General features: G+C 35.6%; 1 protein-coding gene, 1 long non-coding RNA gene and 1 pseudogene across 3 annotated transcripts in view, besides 2 other annotated features; 1 reads left to right on the top strand and 2 right to left on the bottom strand.

Moving 5' to 3' along the window:
- Positions 1-17,324, bottom strand: part of SNX2 (sorting nexin 2) — a 59,548-nt gene that overhangs the window by 23,358 nt on the left and 18,866 nt on the right. For both annotated transcript variants that reach the window (NM_001278199.1, NM_003100.4), the window contains exons 2-7: positions 15,803-15,920; positions 11,331-11,494; positions 9,251-9,317; positions 9,062-9,105; positions 7,573-7,714; positions 2,831-2,909 (exon numbers count right to left, since the gene is read on the bottom strand). In NM_001278199.1, coding sequence (NP_001265128.1) covers positions 2,831-2,909; positions 7,573-7,714; positions 9,062-9,105; positions 9,251-9,317; positions 11,331-11,369 — 371 coding nt within the window. In that variant the 5' untranslated portion in view covers positions 11,370-11,494; positions 15,803-15,920. The remainder of the gene's footprint in view (positions 1-2,830; positions 2,910-7,572; positions 7,715-9,061; positions 9,106-9,250; positions 9,318-11,330; positions 11,495-15,802; positions 15,921-17,324) is intronic.
- Positions 1-17,324, top strand: part of LOC105379154 (uncharacterized) — a 57,613-nt gene that overhangs the window by 34,364 nt on the left and 5,925 nt on the right. The window lies entirely within an intron of this gene.
- Positions 531-1,036: an enhancer, noted in NCBI's record as "OCT4-NANOG-H3K27ac hESC enhancer chr5:122145845-122146350 (GRCh37/hg19 assembly coordinates)". NCBI's record gives its function as "activates a minimal SCP1, AML or CMV promoter by ChIP-STARR-seq in naive and primed H9 embryonic stem cells {active_cell/tissue: H9 hESC(naive and primed)}" and the evidence as "EXISTENCE:reporter gene assay evidence [ECO:0000049][PMID:30033119]".
- Positions 1,037-1,541: an enhancer, noted in NCBI's record as "OCT4-NANOG-H3K27ac hESC enhancer chr5:122145340-122145844 (GRCh37/hg19 assembly coordinates)". NCBI's record gives its function as "activates a minimal SCP1, AML or CMV promoter by ChIP-STARR-seq in naive H9 embryonic stem cells {active_cell/tissue: H9 hESC(naive)}" and the evidence as "EXISTENCE:reporter gene assay evidence [ECO:0000049][PMID:30033119]".
- Positions 14,959-15,098, bottom strand: LOC124901216 (uncharacterized; annotated as a pseudogene).

Raw genomic sequence — 17,324 nt, 5'->3', positions numbered from 1 at the left:
GTCATCTGGATTATCTAAGTTTGAACGAATACGTAAATATCATACTATTGAATAAAATAATACGAAGAAAAATGCTTCCCTAACCCACCAGATCCAACTGGGTTGGGTATCCCACAGATGGTACCTGTTTGATGTTTAAAGTTTAAGAAATATCACAGAAAAATCACTTTAGAAAAGCTGGCTATATGAAAGGGCAAGAAAAATGCAGTTTTAGAATCCTGTACAGATTAAAAAATAAATGTGTACAGGAAAATTAGCTTGCACAGAAGAATTAAGATTAGATTAAAAGAAACCATTCCAGTTCCTTTGCTTCTACACCTTTATGCCTATATTTTCTTCAGTGATTTTTTTCTAATTGAAAATGAACTTTTCCCTCATACTATACTGTTTCTTTCTTTTTTTCACTATTGCAAATTCCACTATGGTACCATTTAACAAGTAGCATTTATCAGTAAAGAAAGTGTCTTTATACAAACAGGGTCAAGTTTCAATATCCCTTAAAACTCTCCTCAACATTTCATAGTACATGAAGGTATGGTAAGTACTATGCAATGCAGCCAAGTTGGAAGAAACGTAAAGGTAGAATCAAATTATATGTCCTTGGTACAGTAAATCTTCATTAAGTTCCTTATCAAGCATGCCATCTGAAATACTTCAAATTTACTCATAGAAAAATAAGACTTGAAAGGTCTCTCAAAGGGTCATGGTTACATTTTCAGGAAAGACTAAGCGAAATCAAGGCAGACCATTATCTACCTTTATTCTTTTTTTTTTTTTTTTTTTTTTAATTGATCATTCTTGGGTGTTTCTCGCAGAGGGGGATTTGGCAGGGTCATAGGACAATAGTGGAGGGAAGGTCAGTAGATAAACAAGTGAACAAAGGTCTCTGGTTTTCCTAGGCAGAGGACCCTGCGGCCTTCCGCAGTGTTTGTGTCCCTGGGTACTTAAGATGAGGGAGTGGTGATGACTCTTAACGAGCATGCTGCCTTCAAGCATCTGTTTAACAAAGCACATCTTGCACCGCCCTTAATCCATTTAACCCTGAGTGGACACAGCACATGTTTCAGAGAGCACAGGGTTGGGGATAAGGTCACAGATCGACAGGATCCCAAGGCAGAAGAATTTTTCTTAGTACAGAACAAAATGAAAAGTCTCCCATGTCTACTTCTATCCACACAGACCCGGCAACCATCCGATTTACCTTTATTCTTAAAAATATTCAGTCTATGACCTCTCCTACAATAAAATCAATTCAAATGCCTAACCTAAACTTCTCTTGATGCAATTTAAATCCTTTTTCTGGGTAACTGCAGATTCTCAGACATAATCCCATCTTTAAGCCTTCTCTAAGATTTTAAACTACATATTCTTTAGCTTTTCTTAAATTGTTCAAATCTAACTTCACTGTACCATTTTTCTTGAAATTTAAACAATTTACTACTGAAAACTAGAAATAAGTTGCCTTGAAATAGTTTAAAAAAAAATTTGTGACCTAGAGAAATAGATACCACCCCCAAGACCTGTGCTATTCACCCTAACCACTGATTTTAAGCCAGAGAAAAATAAAGAGCAAGCAAACAAAAAAACCAGTGAAATTAGAAAGTTTCAAGCCTAGGTAATTACCAACTTGTGTCTTAAATGCTGGGCTTTAAGATAATTTATATTTGTTTTCTCACTTTGTCAGCATAGCAAGGAAGGAATAATTCTAAGATTATGGAAGTGTGGTTCTTCCCATCCTCCCATCTGTCCCCCTTTTAGTCTGCTTCAAGGAAGACAAGTCTTCAAAGCTATAGGAAATGTGTAGAGTCAAGTACTCTAAAGGAAAACAGAGCATATATATTAGTCTTTAAGTATAGCTGTCCCTCAGTACCAGTGGGGGACTGGTTCCAGGACATCCTATGGATACCAAAATCTGCAAATGTTCAAATCCCTGATAGAAAATGGCGTAGTGTTTGCATAATAACCTATGGACAGCCTCTCATATACTTTAAGTCATCTCTAGACTTATAATACCTAATATAATGGAAATACTATGAAAACAGTTGTTAAGCTGTATTGTTTAGACAATAATGACCAAAAATGTCTGCACATGTTTAGTATAGATGTAATTATTTTTTTCAAATATTTTCCATCCATAGTTAGTTGAATCCACAAATAAGGCACCCACAGATATGGAGGGTCAACTGTATATAGTCAACTCAAGCAAAGACTAATACTTTTGTACATTCAAGTAAAAATCAATTATACAAACACAAGGGGGGCACAAACTGTACTTCTCACTGTATTTAATAATGTTCTTACTAAGTAAAAACTCATCAGAAAAGTTAATTTAGATGAACTATAATTAGCTATACTATCCAACACAGTACATGAGTGTGGTATAACTTCCCAGAAACCTAAATAAGACCAAAGTGGGATTATTTGCATCCAAAAATTTTTATTTTTCCCCCCATTCACAACTTCCATGTTTTCCAAGTTTAGCAGTTTCTTAGTAACTCTTGGTGACTACCTATGATACAATTCTATCCCCAGCTAACTCATGTCTTTATATGTTTTCTATTATATGCTCCTGCTTGTAGCATATAATAGAAAAACAAGTGTTATTTTGTTAGACTATTGATGAGGATTACTAAAAATTATACAGAACAATTATACAGTACTTTGTTGAAAGAAGTAATTTTCTTAAAAAAGTTTAAAGCAGTCTTAAAAGCCACCAAGTGGTACTTTGGAAAAAATTTAATCATTAAAACACAGTTTTGCCATATAATGGAATTACATTTATATTAAGGTACAAACATGAGAGTAATAAAATATAGCTGTCTAGAATTACCTTTCAAGAGCTGCTCTCCGTTTTTCTACAAACTCAGTGGATGATGAGTCTTCTTTACCCACTTTGACCTTGGTCATCCCTTTGAAGAAGTTGAATGAGATTCATGATGACTTTATATTGCTGTGAAAGTCTTTCATAATCATTTCTTCATAATTTAAAATACACTCAAAATTTGAACTTAACAGCCCTAAACTTGTAACTGGTATCTTATCTAAAAAGCAAAAACGTTTTGAGGAATTAAATCTCATGATACGTTAACATCTTTACTTGGTAAATACTTAAAACATGAGAGAACAGATAAAATGTTTATAGTTTTCTGACCCATACTGCTTTTGTTTACAGAAAAGCTTACATCAAAAAGATCCCTTATCTGTTGTATTTTATACTCCTGGTAAATTAAAATGTGTTTCTAACCCGATATACATAATGGAATTTCAAATCAATAAATTTAAGCTCAATTAACATTTTCATTTCTCATGAGCAATAATTAAAATTCTTTACTTTGGGATGACAAAAATAAAAGTAAATGTAATCCATGAATTTGTTATGTTTTCCCTCCTGCAGATTCTAAGAGCATGTTCTTATTTACTTATCACAGCTGGTTTTACAATGATTGAAAGAAAAAGCTCTTTCACAGAGTCATTTATAACTTCAGATTTAAAAAATAAGTCATGTTAATTACTTCTGTAAGGGCAATTTAATTTCAGGCTGCAGATTTTTCTCTTTTATTCTCCTGTTCTTTTTCCTTTCAAAAATGTATTCTGTGGAAACAAGGTATTGATATATGCTACAACATGAAATAACCTTGAACATATGATGCTAAGTGGAAGGAATTTGTCACACACAAAAAAATCATCTACTGCATGATCCTTTTTACATGAAATGTCCAGAATAGGTAAATACTTAGAGAAAGAAAGTAAATTAGTGACTGCCTAGGGCTGGGGAAAATGAGGACATTAGGGGATGATGGCTAAGGGATCCCAGATTCCATTTTGGGGTAATAAAAATATTCTAAAATTGACTGTGGTAATGTATGCACAACTCTTAATATATTAAAAGCCAGTGAACTGGATACCCTTTTTTTTTTCTTTTTCGAAACACGGTCTCACTCTGTCACCTAGGCTGGAGTGCAGTGGCATGATCACGGTTCACTGCAGCCCCTATATCCCAGGCTCAAGCAATCCTGAGTAGCTGGGACCACCAGCACGCACCACCACACCCAGCTAATTTTTTGTAGAGACAAGATTTTGCTGTGTTGCCCAGGCTGGTCTCAAACCCCTGAGCTCAAGCAATCCAACTGCCTCAGCCTCCCAAAGTGCTAGGATTACAGGCATGTGCTACCACACCCGACCTAGACACTTTAAATGGATGAATTATATGGTATGTAAATTATATTCCAATAAAGCCTTTTAAAAATGGATTATGTAAAACCATACAATTCTTCAGTTTGGTACATCTTCAGTTTGGCACATTAATTAACTTATTAATCACCTATTAATGTTTTATTTAAAATTCCAATGGAATACAATGGCTTCAAAAGGAAAATAAGACACCTAAAACTACAACTACCTCTGACTGAACTACCGGAATTGGGATGTGAATTGTTTCACAAACTCTATTTCCCTGAAAAAAAATCTCACCACTGGGTAGTTCTTCACTGAAGTTAAAAACCTTCTATCCATTCTACTTTTTAGAGGTTAATTGTTAAGGGACATTGTGACCAATAAATAAATAAATAAATAAATAAATAAATAAAACCCCAAACAACCTACCGTAACTAGTTAACTTTTAATACTTTTCAACTTTGTTGTTCTAACAGTTTAAATGGAATAGTCTTCTTAGGTCAACTAAGGTCCTACCAAAGTAGAGAGTTACGTGCTAATGAAGACTCTCCCTTCAGTGGCAGTTATAAAGCTTCCCAGCAAACAGGAGAAGTTATGACTCTTTTTCCATGCTCCCTGCTATAAGTGTAAGTTACCTGAAAACCACCAGCTATGTAATTAGAAGTTCAAAGATTAATTTGTCACCCACCTTTAATAATTATTCAAGACTTCACCATACTTTGAAGAAATTGTTTTGCTTGGCTTCATATTACTATTTGACTACATTTATTTTTTTCCTGATAATTTCTCTATATATAAACTGTATTATCTGTAGTTGCCTGAAATCCTTTTTGGAATGGTGGGCTGTGTGTGTGTGTGTGTGTGTGTGTGCGCGCGCGTGTGTATATATATACACACACGCACACACACACACACACATAAAAGTTTTAAACAGGCCAGGCGCGGTGGCTCACGCCTGTAATCCCAGCATTTTGGGAGGCTGAGACGGGCGAATCATGAGCTCAGGAGATCGAGACCATCCTGGCTAACATGGTGAAACCCCATCTCTACTAAAAATACAAAACATTAGCTGTGCGTGGTGGCGGGCGCCTGTAGTCCCAGCTACTCAGGAGGCTGAGGCAGGAGAATAGCATGAACCCGGGAGACAGAGCTTGCAGTGAGCCAAGATAGCACCACTGCACTCCAGCCTGGGCAACAGAGCAAGACTCCATCTCAAGAAAAAGCAAAAAAGTTTTAAACAATTTAATCCACATTAAATGTATTTCAGTTGGGTGTGGTGACTCATGCCTGTAATTTCAACACTTTGGATTGAACCATCCCTGATTCAACACTTTGGATTGAACCGTCCCTATAGAACCATCCCTACAGATTTCAACACTTTGGATTGAACCATCCCTACAAAGGGGTCTTGAAAGACCAAAAAGTTAAAGAACCACTAAACTCAATTTTTGAATTTAAAAAAAGAAAGAATATAACAAATTCATCTAAATACATTAGGTTCTGAAACTGTAAAGGGTACCAATAACATTGCTTTATAAACCTAATGTTTAAAAAAGTAAAAACAATAATTTAAAAATCAGCAAAATTTGGCTGAGCATGGTGGCTCCAGTCTGTAATCCCACCACTTTGGGAGGCCAGATGAGAGGACTGCTTGGGGCCAGGAGTTTGAGACCAGCTTGGGGGAAAAAATAAATCAGCAAAATTCTTTTTTTTTTTTTTTTTGAGATGGAGTCTCGCTCTTCTGCCCAGCCTGGAGTGCAATGGCACAATCTTGGCTCACTGCAACCTCTGCCTCCCCAGTTCAAGCAATTCTCCCATCTCAGCCTCCCAAGTAGCTGGGATTACAGGCAGGAGCCACCATGCCTGGCTAATTTTTGTATTTTTGTAGAGACAGGGTTTCACCGTGTTGGCCAGGCTGGTCTCGAACTCCTGACCTCAGGTGATCCGCCCATCTCGGTCTCCCAAAGTGCCGAGATTACAGGCATGAGCCACCATGATGGAGCCGAGCTCACACCACTGCACTCCAGCCTGGGCAGCAAAGCGAGACTCCGTCTCAAAAAACAAAAAAACTTTCAGATTAATCTAAGTATAAAGAAAAGTAATGGTAGTGCTCACTTCAGCAGCACATATACTAAAACTGTGAACAATACAGAGAAGATAATTACTTTAAAGGAAAAAAAAGAAAAAGGTAAATAAAAACCTATGACTGAAAAAGCATTGAATAAAATACTACAAAATTTTGAGATGACAGATGTCTTTTAATGGTAGGCCTATGGAGGTTTCCTCCTCTTTTGTAATTTTCTGCAGTTTCTTAACTAAGTCTTTATTGCTTATGGAAGTACAAATGTGGCCGGGCACAGTGGCTCACGTCTAATCCCAGCACTTTGGGACGCCAAAGCAGGCAGATCACAAGGTCAGGAGTTCAAGACCAGACAGGCCAATATGGTGAAACCCCGTCTATACTAAGGATACAAAAAGGATTAGCCAGGCATGGTGGTGTGTGCCTGCAGTCCTAGCTACTCGGAAGGCTGGGGCAGGGGAATCACTTAAACCCAGGAGGCGGAGGTTGCAGTGAGCCAAGATTGCACCACTGCACTCCAGCCTGGATGACAGAGTGAGACTCCATCTCAAAAAAAAAAAAAAAAAAGTAGAAATGTTTTTAAACTTTAAATTGAGGTACGAAATGAACTAAGATGAATTTAAATAGCTCTTATATGAGCCAAGGCTAGTGAGGGTCTAACACCTCCATCCCTTAGAAAAATGTTAACATATTAATAATATTAAGTATTCTCTGATTGTGACTCAGTAAAATGGTAATCTAGTGACCCTAAAAGGTTAGGGCTTCCAACTGCTTTTAACTTCATAAATTTCAACCCAATTTTTTTTTTGAGACGGAGTCTCACTCTGTTGCCCAGGCGTGATCTCAGCTCACTGCAACCTCCGCCTTCTGAGTTCAAGTGATTCTCCTGCCTCAGCCCACCGAGTAGCTGGAATTACAGGCACGTGCCACCATGCCTGGCTACTTTTTGTATTTTACTAGAGACAGGGGTTTCACCATGTTGGCTAGGCTGGTCTTGAACTCCTAACCTCAAGTGATCTTCCTACCCTGGCCTCCCTAAGTGCTGGAATTACAGGTGTGAGCCACCACACACGGCCTCTACCCAATATTTAACATTACTGTATTACATAAACAAAAATCCTCAAGTGTTAGAAAATAAAACTATTACCAATACATTCTTCAATCCATGCATGATTAGTATAAATGAAATACTTAAATTCAGTTATGTCTACACATTATAAAATGTTGACAGTGAATGACTAAGAAATCCACAAATCTATACAGTTAAAACTGAACTAGTAACAGTAACAAAAATTAATTTTTGAAAAATTTGTGCTTACCTACTATACTCTTTTCTGGAGCTGGTGGCACAATATAACCAACATGTAAATATTTGCTTGCTAATTTGCTGTGCAAACCAAGAAAGTCGCTGAATCTTCTTTTCACTGAAAATTCACTCTTACTGAACATGGAAAGAGATGTCTACAAGTGAAGAAGAGGTGTTTCAAATTTTGAATAGCAAGCAATTATTCCACAAGTTAATGTTATACATAATTGTGAACACATACATGTATCTACTTTGCAAAAGAATGCAGAGTATCTAACTAATGTGGTATATAGGTTTCTAACTAAAAAAAAAACCTAAACCATAGATGTATTTTACAGAATCTTAATAGGACAAAAAAGTATTTGCATTATTCTATCTTAACTGGTCTTATTCACTCTATTTACGCTAATAATTCTTAAATCTTTACATCTGGCCCAGATATCTTACAAAGCTTCAGTCCAATATATCCAAATACCCCTCCACTTAAATCTCACCAGCACTTCAAACTTACCCTATTTCCCCCTGCTGGAACATAAGTTCTATAAGATGCCACCCTTGTCTGTATTGTTTACTACTATACCCCAGGGCTTGCAACAAAGCTTGACACCATGGTAGGTGTTTAATGAATATTTATCCAATGAATTAACAACTGTCATCCTCATCCTCACTGTGTTCCTGCCCGTGTTGCCTTTCTCCATGGATCACTCTCACAGCTGCAAAGTCCCTCTAGTCAATAACCTAGGCATCCTTCTCCTTCCTCACCCATTACATCCAAGTCCTGTCAATTCTACCGCCTACATAACTCAAGAAGCCACTTATTTTGCTCATCTCCAGAACCATTTTCTTAGTATAAAGTATTACTGCTTACAGCTAGAACTGCTGTGACAGACATGCTCTTTTAATATTTAAAGGCATACAATCCTTTAATCATTGCAGTGTCCCTTTAACTGGAAATCCTGACCTCTACTTTGACCCTCCCAATTCATACTGAGGCCAAAGAAATATTTCTAAAACAAAAACCTACTTGTGCCACACTCTTCTTTGAACTTCTTTAATGGCTCTCCATTATACTCAGCATGAAGCCAAACTCCTTAAAATGTGGCTGCTCATAATACACAAAGGCTTACTGCCAAACGTTTCAATCATGCATCACTTCTTGGAGATTCTAGAAAGCACAATGCTTTCTTCACTTTTGGCTTTTGCACAAGCAAATTCCTCACCTGGCACAAGCATTCTTCTTCTTCCCCCCCTCCTCCCCATCATTTCCCTCACCTATGTCTTGGCTTAGGCATCCAGAGGTCTAAATCAGGTCCCATCCTGCATACTCTCACTGAACACTACATATCAAACCACTCACAACTCATTGCACCTACTTCTTGGCAATCTTTATTAGGTGGTAACCTTTATAAAGACAGGGATCACTTCTACCTTAATCATAGCCATATCCTCATACTACACATAATGAGGGCTCGATAGTTTTTTTAAAAGCACAAAAAGCTCACCTTTGTTGTTACTCTATATGCCATATAGGCATTCATGCCATCACCTGCAAAAAAAGTCAAACACTACTATTAAAATCACATGCATAAAAATAAAACTCATTTAATACTATATTGATGTATGAAGAAAAACCATACAAAACCAACAAACTAATAAAAAGTAAATACAAAATATAATAAGTATTGACTCACCAACTTTTTCTGGATCTGATACACCAATTTCTATGTCAAAAATGTCTCCATTTGCTTCTTCTTCAATCTAGAAAGTATAAATTATTTTTTGGCATTAAAAATTATAATTTAAATTATTGTCATGACACTAATTTTTATCATCTATTTTCTGTAAGAGTCACTGTCACAACAAATAATTTAGCCACCCAGCACTTCATTTTTGAAAAACAATAAAAACTTTCACATTTCCTGACTTTATAAATAAAACACACACACACACACACACACACACACACACACACACGAAAAAGACCATTTGGAGAAGTAACAATTTTTTTTTTTTTTTTTTTTAAAGATAGAGTCTTGCTCTGCTGCCCAGGCAGGAGTGCAGTGGCTCAATCTCAGCTCACTGCAACCTCCACCTCCTGGGTTCAAGCAATTCTCATGCCTTGGCCTCTCAAGTAGCTGGGATTACAGGTGTCTGCCACCACACCCAGGTGATTTTTGTATTTTTACTAGAGACGGGGTTTCACCATGTTGGCCAGGCTGGTTTTGAACTCCTGACCTCAGGTGATCTGCCCACCTCGGTCTCCCAAAGTGCTGGGATTACAGGCGTGAACCACTGCGCCCAGCCCAAAATCTCATGTTAATTCCTCAGATGTAGAAAAAATGTTTTCGTCTTTTTGTACAAATATTGTGGAATTTTTTGTTCTATATACTGAATCTTCAGATTCAGATTATTAAAAAATTACCTCCTTAATTAATTTTAATACTAGCATTTTTCAAAGTTCTCTCTCTACCCTTTAATACCAAGGAGGTAGGTAGTCATTACTTTTACCAGTAGAACCTTACTTACCAGCAGAAGTGATTATACTGAAAAGCAACTTTAGTATCAAGATTTCTCTAATTATCTAATAAACACGTTCTTCTGGACGCGAAGGAAAGCACTATAAACCTCAGTGAAAAAGCAGTAAGTGGGAAAAATGACAACCCTATGTCGAGACTTCAGAGAAGCCCTTGTAAATGCCATTAAAAATAAGCAATCCAAACATTAGCTCTGCAGGAAAGCTTTGTTATTCTCAAGCACAAAGTTCAGAGATTATTCAACTTTGCAAAATTTTCAAGGCAATTATTAATAGTCTAACACTATCTAAATGCAAAGTGTTTTGAACCATAATTGTTTTATTTCAAGGTTGTCTTCTTGTACAGATATTTTTAAAGTAAAACTTTTAAAAATCATTACATAAAAAGTATATAAATTTTAAGTGTACAGTTCAATAAACCTTTACAAAGTGAACACGTTTGTAATCAGAACCTAAATCAGAAATAAGCATCATCACTACAGCTCAGGAGGCCCTCTTTTGCTTCCCCTCCAGTTACTACCCATTCTTTACCTGCCAACATAACCACTACCCTGACATCTAGCCCTGTACTTTACTTTTATCTGTTTTTAAAGTTCATATATTAGAATTATGTAAGTATTCTTTTATGTCTTACTTATTTCCCTTAATATTATGTTTGCGAGATTGTTTATATTTTTTATGTGGTTGTTACTTAATCATGGTCATTTTAACGACATATTTCCATGAATGACTTTTAAATACATAATTTTGCCATTAAAATAATCTCTGTATAATTTTTCTTTTCCAAATTCACCTTGTCAGAAATTACTGCCAAATCATGAGAATGTACCTTTAACTGATATACATCCTCCCTTCTTTTTCAATATCAACCTTTAAGTATTAACAGTATTTATTACAAATTTTATCAAATAAATTTACTCAAAATATCACTTTATTGTGATTAAGTTTTCAAAGCACTTTTATATATCATCTGACCAACAGAGAAACCCTAGGAAATGCACACTATTATCATAAAATCAGAAATGACAAACTCCTTCACTTAACAAGGTAAATGATATGCCCAGGTCACTGGGTAGAGTGGGGAAGATAGAAGCCAGATCCCATAACTAATTTAGTCCAATATTCTTTTCCCAAAATGTCTAAAAGGCTTTGATTAGAAATGACTAACAGCAGAGTGATGTTGGGTGGGGAAAAAAGGTATATATTTACATATTAATTTAGAATACATTTTCCTGTACCTCTTCCCTGGATCTATCAAAGATCACGGGAGCAGACATACTCTTTGATTCAATTCTAGGAGCAATGAGTGTAGTAGGAGTGACAGGTGTGACTGCAGGAGAAGGTTCCGAGGATAGGATAGGTTCCCTTTCAGGGCTGTCCAAAGAAACTTCTTCTGTGGCTTCTAGACATAGATTAAACAAGTTAGTTAAGAACACTGGCAAGCAAACCCCCAATATTCTACATAGCAGTTAATGGATTATAAAAAATATTTTTATATTACCCACAAATATAAAAATAATGTCATTTAAAAATAATTATCACAAAGGAATTTTATGCATCCTTATTTATCACAACTTTAAAACTAACTGTAACTTTGTTGATTTTAGAAAGAATCCTATTAAGTTAGCTTAATTATACTAGTGGTAGGGATCAGGCTGAAAGAAAAGCAATGATGCAGATGATTCCACATTCATGTTTGGATTTGTAACAACTTATACTTGTGGTAACTTACCTTTCAAATATTTATTTACACTAATATTATGATTATTTTATACATATAAAGACAAATTTTATGGTGGAAGTCTGTCCACAACTATTTTAACTTGGATTAAAAACTGGTTAGGAAAAGCTACAAAGTTAGTAATATAAAGCAATTAATTGGTAAAGATTACTGGATATTAATTAGTTGGATACACAAATATGACACAAAACAAATAGGTGTTTAGGTTTTAAATTAAAATGCCCACTCACTTGAAAAATCTAATACTAATAATTTTAAAAAATCAAACCAAATCAATAAACTGAATGTCTACAGGCTACATAACATTGTGCTAAGTGCAACAGAAAAACACACAAAAATGTAAAATATCATACCTGCCCTCAGAGAGTTTATAATTTAGTTGGGGAAAACAAGACAAAAGCATGTGGGATGTTAAATAATAATAAAAGACTTAAATAATACCCAGGCAAACAATGAAAAGAATGTTACAAGACATTTAATTGCTACATGAGCTACAGAACAAACACTACAATTTGAGTTGAGCTGGGAGACAAAAATCAGGAACAGTTTACAAAATGGATCTGAGAAGACTGAAATGGGTAGAGAAAAAATGAAGAAAGAATTCCATGATAATGGAATAATAGCATATGCAAAAAGCAGAGCCAGGAAAGGGAAAATCACAAGTGGTGGCCATAATGTAAACTACAACTTTGCTAGTCTGTAGAACTGATACTAGGAAAGGAAGGCAGGACCTCAAGGAAAACACAGGACCAGGCCAGTGGTTTCTAACCTGAGGTCCTTAGATTCTTAGAGGTTCAAGATGGTGGTAATGATAGTCAGTGAACCATTTTAATTTTAATACCTCAAGGTATAGCAGTAATAGCATATTTACCTGAAATAAGGTTATACACGTCAACATTTTATCAAGCTATTCTTACTGGTTATCTCATGTTGATGAGATCCTTACTTGGTATAGATGATCTCTTCACTTTTTCATATTAAAAGCGAAAATGATCAATAACTAAAAATCTTTCAAACTGTGGTAACCAGAGGAAGGAAAATGGACTATATATGTTGAAACAGGCTATAGATAAGCCTACCGTAACAAAATAAAAGCTTATATGCAATTCAGGCTGTGATGATTGCTGGTATTTATTACTCTTTTTGTAAAGAAATGAAACCAATGAGTAATATGATAAAGTAAAAAAAAAGCAGTATATCAAAGCTACAAGTGTGAGATATTTACAACAATAAGCAAAACAACAAGCACCAAACAAAACAAAAACCCCAGAATCTGAAAGAGGCACTGTTCTTTGGCAACAGACTCACAGGCAAAATATTGTGAGAGATAGTAACTTTATTAAGAAATCAGTACAGATAAAGTCATTTAAACTTTTTAATCACATTTTACTTTACTGATACTGAGTTTTGTGTTATTTACACTAACAGGCTGCTTCATTCAAAAATTGTAGGATTTAGATTCAACATATATATATAATCTGTCTTAAATTTTCTTCATGACACCTTTTAGCTTAAGTAAACCAATATATTACAAATTCATAAGGTTTAATTTAAAGCAGACCTAAAGGTTCAGGAAGATGCTTCATAGGTGCTAACTGTAAAGATTAATTTTTCCTTGGAGACATACTTTGAGACATGTATGAACTGATTATGTCAATGTCACTACAGCAATATCTATATTCTCTCCTCTGGTATAGGAGGGACAAATCGAGTATAGGTTTCTCATTACTGGACAATAGTTTTCACCATCCCAGTAACATACGCTGCTCCCTATTATAGTTTCCTAGAACCATACTCCTCCATAGAAGGAGGAATGCTACACCTGTTAAAATGTATTATAAATAAGAACCAAGTGTAATACTCATTCATTCATACAAAAATGATCAGATTAGGTCTTCAGTCACTTAATGATGTCATTATGAAATACAGCTGAGTTTAAGATGAAAGCTAAAGCATAAAAAATGTTTCTATTTTTGGGTTAACAAAGGAGACAGATGACTATGTTTATTGTTCTTTAGTTCCCATCTCTCTCTTTTTTTAAAACAAACACTGATATTCACCATATTTGATTCACAGAATTTAGTATAGACTGCTAGGTAGAATAAAACACTATGAAGATTTTTCTGGCTGGGCTCAGTGGCTCACGCCTGTAATCCCAATACTTTGGGAGACCCAGGTGGGAGGACTGTTTGAGGCCAGGAGTTCAAGACCAGCCTGGGCAACATAGCAAGATCCCATCTCAACAAAACATGAATAAATTAGCCAGGTATAGTGGCACATGTCTGAAGTCTTAGCTACTTGAGAAGCAAGGGTTGGAGAATTATTTGTGCCCAAGAGTTCAAAGCTGCTGTGAGCTATGATGGCATGGCTATACTCCAGCTTGGGTGACAGAGTGAGACCTGTCTAAAAACTGTTTTTAATTTTTTTTCTAACCAAGCTAAGTGGGCAAATATCATTGTATAGTCCTCACTTGGCTAACTCTTTGATCAGCTGTGCATACTGTTAAGAAAAAAAAAACCTTGCATGTACACAAACACACACAGACACAGTTCTGTTGTTACAGTAAGGTTTAAACATACTCATCTACATAGAAATCTGAGACTATAGGGTGAAGGAGTCTTTAAAAAAATGGATAATTTAAAACCTCTATGTATGACCCTATACCATTAAAGGAATACACAGAATTTTAGATTAGTACTTGTTAAGTAGAGAAAGAACTTGTGTCATCTTTTAGCATAAGATACAAATACCATGAAACAACTTTGAAAGATTGCCTGGAAAAAAGTCCATGAAAGGACACAATAACAAATACTGAAATATTACAACTTTGGTTAACGGTGATTTTGACTCTAAGTTGTTAGGTGGCTTAAAATTTTAAAGAGAAGATGATTGGTATTTGGTATCATATTTTTAATTTTGTGACATAATAAAATATGTGAATTCATCTCCAGTGACAACTTCTCATGGAATGAATCAAGGTGTAAATTATATGGAGTTTTGTGATGGAGGATTGCTGTCTTCAAACATGTTTGTACAAAAACACAGAATGGTTTGAATATTGAACCACTATGAAAGATGAGAACATAATTATTCATTTTTTATCTTTTTTTCTTTTTCCTTTTTCATGTGAGATGGGTAATGTGCCAATACTGTAGCAAGGTTTGAGGGAGGCAATCTCAAAGATTAGAGATTAATGTGAAGTCCCAACCTCATGAGTTAAAAATGTTTAGTGTGAAAATCCCAAGCTTATGAGCCACAAAAGAATCCATCCATATTAAGTTTTAACTCAATGAAAGCCAGTTCAGGTAAATTAGGCTATTAAACACACAAAATAAAATTTACCATTTTCATTTTTTGTGTCATTAATTTTAAGGAAGATGTTGCTTTTTAATATTAAAACATTAATTTTAATTTTAAAGCAGATAATTGTTAAACAGAGTCCTTCTTAAGTTAGGATGAACTACACCAAATCCTGCCCCTGTATCAAAAACAAATTCCTTAAGCATCAATTTATTCACCTAAAAGTGGGTCAAATGGAACAGATGGTAAATAGTACAGCAATTTATTAAAACAGCTTTCAAACATAAATATAGAATAATTTTTAAATCCATAGTTTAATTTTGCTTTGGGACAACTTCTAAGCAATAAAAAGGTATAATCACTGCTATTTCTCAAAGTATGAACATCACAATGATTAGTCTTTTGCATCTAAATACTGCCCCCAATCAAATTATAATATACAATTTATTCTCAAATGCTTACAGCCAGAAAGAACCACATTTTTGCTTCTCTGGACAGTCCACATTTTTCATAGAGTGATGTGACTGGAAATTCCCCATCCTTCTAAGTTGTTACAAGAGCTGCCACTAACACTTTACACAGAATTTCAGTTTTGTTTTAGATATTTTCTATCTAATAGAAAATATACTGCAATTGACCATTATTAAAAAATAAATACATGACAATTACCTGCAAAAAGATCTTCTCTGTCATCATCTAATACAACTTCTGTGGGTTTTGGGCCATTGGAGTTTGCACTAATATCTTCTGCAGGAAGACTAGCTGGTTCTGGAGATGATGGACTTGACTGTTAAAAAAGAACAATAATAGGTAATGGATTGGCATGTTTACCTGTTGTAATTCTGTCACCATGTACTACAGAAATAGAACATTCTCTTGAAAAGAATGGAGGAAAGAACAAGAACAGCTATTTATATATCCTCCTCTGAGAGTAAGAATGAACTAATAACACACTTTTAACTCATCATCTTTCTTAACAAAAAGTCACTTAAGATTTAAAAAAGAAAACCTTTTTTTTCTTTTTATTTTTGAGACAGGGTCTCACTCTATGGCCCAGGCTGGAGTGTAGCGATGTGAGCTTGGTTCACTGCAGCCTTGACCTCCCAGGCTCAAATGATCCTTCCACCTCAGCCTCCAGGGTAGCTGGGACTAAAAATGCACGTCACCACACCTGGTTATTTATTTATTTATTTATTTTTTGTAGAGATGGGGTTTCACCATGTTGCCCAGCTTGAACTCCTGAGTTCAAGTGATCCTCCCACTTCAGCCTCCCAAAGTGCTGGGATTACAGGTGTGTGCCAACACCCCTGGCCAGAAAACCTTTTCTAGTCATCCTTTTTGGAGGTACTAGTTTGTCATACTGAGTTATAATTAACAAAAACCAAATTTAATATTTTACAGTCATATACAATAGAACCAAAACGACATCATGTCCTTGATTTTCAAAAATCCCTAATTTTGTTTTTGTTATTGCCATGTTTGTTTGTTTGTTTTTCCTGGTGGGGGCAGATATGCCCAAACACCAAAATTCCACGTGACTCAACAGATCCTGAAAACATGTTGCATGTCCAAGAAGTTCAAAGCACTGTTTTACTGTAAGAGGAAAACTTACTACTAGTTGAATTAAGACCAATTATTCTAAAATTTCTATCGCTTCAAACTAAAAATGTGACCTCTCAAGACATTTATATTTCATCTAAGCTAATGACTATTCTTGTTTTTTTTGTTTGTTTGTTTGTTTTGAGACACAGTCTCATTCTATTGCCCAGGCTGGAGTGCAATGGTGCAATCTTGGCTCACTGCAACCTCCACCTCCTGGGTTCAAGTGATTCTCCTGCCTCAGCCTCCCAAATAACTGGGATTACAGGCATGCACCACCATGCCCGGCTAATTTTTGTATTTTTAGTAGAGACAGGGTTTCACCATGTTGGTCAGGCTGGTCTCGAACTCCTGACCTCAGGTGATCCACCCGCCTCAGCCTCCCAAAGTGCTGGGATCACAGGAATGAGCCACTCTTGTACTTCTTTAACCCTAACGTATAATGAGTAACACAATGAAACCTAGATTGTGTAGCTTTTATCTTTATTATGGTTTTCGTATTACAATAGTTAAAACCAGGTCTTTTTTTTTTTTTTTGGGGGGACAGAATTTTGCTCTTCTTGCCCAGGCTGGAGTGCAATGGCGTGATCTC

This window comes from Homo sapiens, chromosome 5, assembly GCF_000001405.40.
Source record: "Homo sapiens chromosome 5, GRCh38.p14 Primary Assembly".
In the NCBI taxonomy this organism is placed as follows: Eukaryota; Metazoa; Chordata; class Mammalia; order Primates; family Hominidae; genus Homo; species Homo sapiens.
This window is presented reverse-complemented; position numbering and strand designations above follow the sequence as displayed.